At 42.9% G+C, this 4,105-nt stretch overlaps 1 annotated feature.

The window, feature by feature from the left end:
• Positions 267–770: an enhancer, noted in NCBI's record as "H3K4me1 hESC enhancer chr14:34366891-34367394 (GRCh37/hg19 assembly coordinates)". NCBI's record gives its function as "activates a minimal SCP1, AML or CMV promoter by ChIP-STARR-seq in primed H9 embryonic stem cells {active_cell/tissue: H9 hESC(primed)}" and the evidence as "EXISTENCE:reporter gene assay evidence [ECO:0000049][PMID:30033119]".

Raw genomic sequence — 4,105 nt, forward strand, 5'->3', positions numbered from 1 at the left:
TTGCTCTTCTGATACACTGTAGTGATTGGTAGATAAAGAGTAGTGTGTAAGAGCAAGGCCATCACCACTACTGGATCAAGAGTTCAAAAGACCGGTCCAGCTGAAGGCAGGCAAGGGTGTCATCATTATAAAAAGAACAGCGACCATGTGGGAATGAAGGGACTGGCTGCATAAGAGAATGTCTGGCAGCAAATCAACTCCCTCCACTAGTGAACTACCAACCCCTGTACTAAGCAACCTTCAAAGTCCTTCCATGGCAGGTGAAGGCATTCAAGGCAGGAGGTACAGCACAGGCAGTTAAATGCAGAAGTTGTGCTCCCTTGATTTTGTAGTCTTAGAAAACTGGGCCATTCCATTACTGCTAATAACGTAGGCAGAGAAGCAAAGACAAGAATGCTTTGCTTTTGAAGATAAATCCCTACAGGAAAGCTTCTTTGCTCTGTGTAGGTAGAAACAGAGAAAAACTTGCAAGAAAACGGTCACATCCTCTAACACTTTTATCTCCTGGCTGCCTAGCAACTTTCATAGGTAGAGTGTGGAGAGGAAAAATTCTCGTGGAAGCCTGAGAATAAGCAGGCACCATGTCTGCAATGTCATGAAACACAATCTCTGAAGAGTTGCCCTACGAGAGAGCAGGCTGCTCCCAGTTAATAAGGCTTGGCAGAGTGTTCTTACCTCTTCATGTAGAATCTGATTTCCCCTTGGCTCTTTTGGCTTCCTCCTAGGGATGCCAGGAGGAGAGGGAGGAGGAGGAGAGGGAGGAGGAGGAGAGGGAGGAGGAGGAGAGGGAGGAGGAGGAGAGGGAGGAGGAGGAGAGGGAGGAGGAGGAGAGGGAGGAGGAGGAGAGGGAGGAGGAGGAGAGGGAGGAGGAGGAGAGGGAGGAGAGGGAGGAGGAGGAGGAGGAAAGCTGTTGTGTTATTTGGAGCCAAAGAAATATTATGGTTTAAAAATGAGCAAGAACAAGCTTAACTGTATGTTTCCACCACCTTCTTATTGCAGTATCTCAATGTTTCAGTCCCTGTTTCTGCTGGTGCCAATCCAGTGACAGGAAGAATACCTTGCTCTTCTAGCTCCTATAAAGTGTCCCTAATCTTAAACCAAAATTTGACTCTCAGAGATTCTGAGAAAACAGTAATAAAAGACAGGAAAAAGAATAATTCAATAAAAAAATATTTCCCTCAGCAAGGATCAGAAGAATCCAGTAACTACAAAGCAAAGATTGTTTTAATAAAACACCTAAATCAGTCAGGTGCAGTGGCTCACACCCATAATCCCAGCACTTTGGGAGGCCGAGGCGGGCAGATCAGCTGAGGTCGGGAGTTTGAGACCAGCCTGACCAACATGGAGAAACCCTGTCTCTACTAAAAATACAAAATTAGCCGGGTGTGGTGGTGCATGCCTGTAATCCCAGCTACTCGGGAGGCTGAGGCAGGAGATGTGCTTGAACCTGGGAGGCAGATGTTGTGGTGAGCTGAGACTGCTCCGTTGCACCCCAGCCTGGGCAACAAGAGCGAAACTCCATCTCAAAAAAAAAAAAAAAATCCAAAATACATGTATCTAGAGATTATGGAGAGTTTCTGATTTTCAGATTGAGTAGGCTAAAAAGTATAGAGTATTAGAAAATTAACATAAACAAGGATGATTTAATAGAGATCAATGTGAACACAAATAATTTTCTATTCTTTAGAAAATAGACATTCTCAAATGTTTCTGCACCAAAATTTGTTGAGGTATTGGATTACTGAAATCCTTATAAGACTTATGGTTTTGAAATTTTTGTTATGTTCTGTTTAAAATATGTAATAAACCTGGAAAAAGTAAAAATAAACAAAAATATACTAATCACTTAGAAGTTTTACAATAAAATTCTTGATTCAGAAAAACAACCCTGCAGTTAGAGACTATTCAGAAGTAAACAATGAAAATATTAGTAAGAATAAGCATTCAATTGTTATCAATACTGTTTCAACTACTTTACATTTAATCCTCATAATAACACTATGATAACAACACTGTGTCAAACACTGTTTCAACTACTTTACATTTAATCCTCATCCTAACACTGAGGTAGTTCCTGTTGTTTCTCCATTTTTTTCAGCTGAGGAAACCAAGGCACATAAAGGTCAAATAATTTGCCCAAAGTCGTATAACTAGTAAGTAGCGGGGTCAGAATTTGAACCCAGGCAGCCTGGTTCTAAAGCCCACATTCTTAACAACTACAATGTATGGCTTCATATAAAAACCCACAGGAATGACTGAAGCCAAAAGGAATAAAGTTCATACTCTTAATAGCTTTTCATATTTAAAAAAATTGATCAGTGAACCCGATTTGCAACATGATGGCAGACAGTAAATAACCTATTGCCCCCCTTCTGCACCAACTGTCTAGAGAGGAGAAAAAAGAAAAAAAAAAAAAAAAACAGAAAAGAAATTACTGAAGTGGTGTTGCCCTGACCAAAGATTAGCCAATGTCTCTGTTGATGGTGCAAAGGTGAGAAGTGCAGCCCTGTGTATATACACAGATACAAGGTAAATATGGTTGGAATCATGGCTTTGACTAGCAATGCCTTGAGTATTATAGCATCAGTACATATTGAGTCAATTATGATTTCTGTGCATATTGAGTCAAAATTGAGTTCGAAGTCATTAGATCTCTAATGATTTTAATTACAGTAACTGGCTACATCTCTGTAAATGGAAACTGCTGGGATGCAGTGGTTAAGAGCCAGGCTATGGGTGTCAGACCTTGGCTTGACTCTACGGCTTGGCCACCTGCTAGTTTTATGACCTTAGTGGAGTTACTTAACCTCATTTCCCTCTTGCATAAAATGGGAAAAACAATAGCCACCTCCAATTCTATCATCTCCCAGGGTTGTAGTAAAGACTAATTAATTATAAAACACTTATTATGGTGCCTGGCACAGAAAAGCTTCCTTCTCTCATTTTTATGCATTCTATATACATACAACACTGGAAAGTAACAGCATTTGGCCTGCTTTATAATGAAAAATGGAAGCATACCAACCCTTCAAAGTCAGAAAGCAGGCAGAAATAAATTGTCAGAGGAAACTGGAATACTTCAGATCATCTGTAAACAAAGCCCTCTTGAAAACAAAGCAAAAACAAACCTCAAATCTCTGATTAAAACATTAAAAAAAAAAGAAATGCACACCTTTCTTAAAGGTAAGAGCAGCTAATAACACAAAAGTTATTAGAACAAAAGTAACTCTGGAGGTAAATGAGTATAGAAGCCACTTTTGTCTGGAAGAGGTTTATTACTCCCCCTAGATTTGAACTTGCATGTTAATGCCTTTTGGCTATAAAAGGGACATATATTAAAGCCCAGACCCACATAAGGTGACAATGATCGCAGCAGTGGACTGTCTAGAGCAGCCACTGCCCCATGATGCCAGCTGCAGTGAAGGAGGTGCGGCTGGGGCTGTGCACTCCATGGAGCTGGCCAGAGCTGGGAACAGGCAAAAGCTCTGCTCCCTTCTGAGTTGACAGGGCCGGAGCTTTGCACTCCTTGGGCACAGCAATGACTATCCAGCCACAGTTGCATACCCAGGCATCCCTATGCTCTTGGGGGCTGGGAGCAAGCAGGAGTCCTACCCTCCCAGGCACAACTGCAGCTGCCCAGCCACTGCTGCAGTTCCAGCATCTCTGCACTCTCAACGAAGTGCAGAGAAGGCTTAGAAGTGCCTGCTCCCAGGCTGGGCACGGTAGCTCATGCCTGTAATCCCAGCACTTTGGGAAGCTGAGGCAGGCGGATCACAAGGTTAAGAGATCAAGACCATCCTGGCCAACATGGTGAAACCCCGTCTCTACTAAAAATACAAAAAATTAGCCAGGCATGGTGGCAGGCACCTGTAATCCCAGCTACTTGGGAGGCTGAGGCAGGAGAATCGCTTGAACCCGGGAGGCGGAGGTTGCAGTGAGCCAAGATCGCGCCATTGCACTCAAGCCTGGGCAAAAAGAGCAAAACTCTGTCTCAAAAAAAAAAAAAAAAGAAGTGTCTGCTCCCACTGTCTGGCCTCTCCCCACTCCCAGTACTCACTTCAGTCTAGGAGCAAAGTTGAGGCTGAGCCCAGGTGCTGTTGCAACC

Source organism: Homo sapiens, chromosome 14, assembly GCF_000001405.40.
Source record: "Homo sapiens chromosome 14, GRCh38.p14 Primary Assembly".
NCBI lineage: Eukaryota > Metazoa > Chordata > Mammalia > Primates > Hominidae > Homo > Homo sapiens.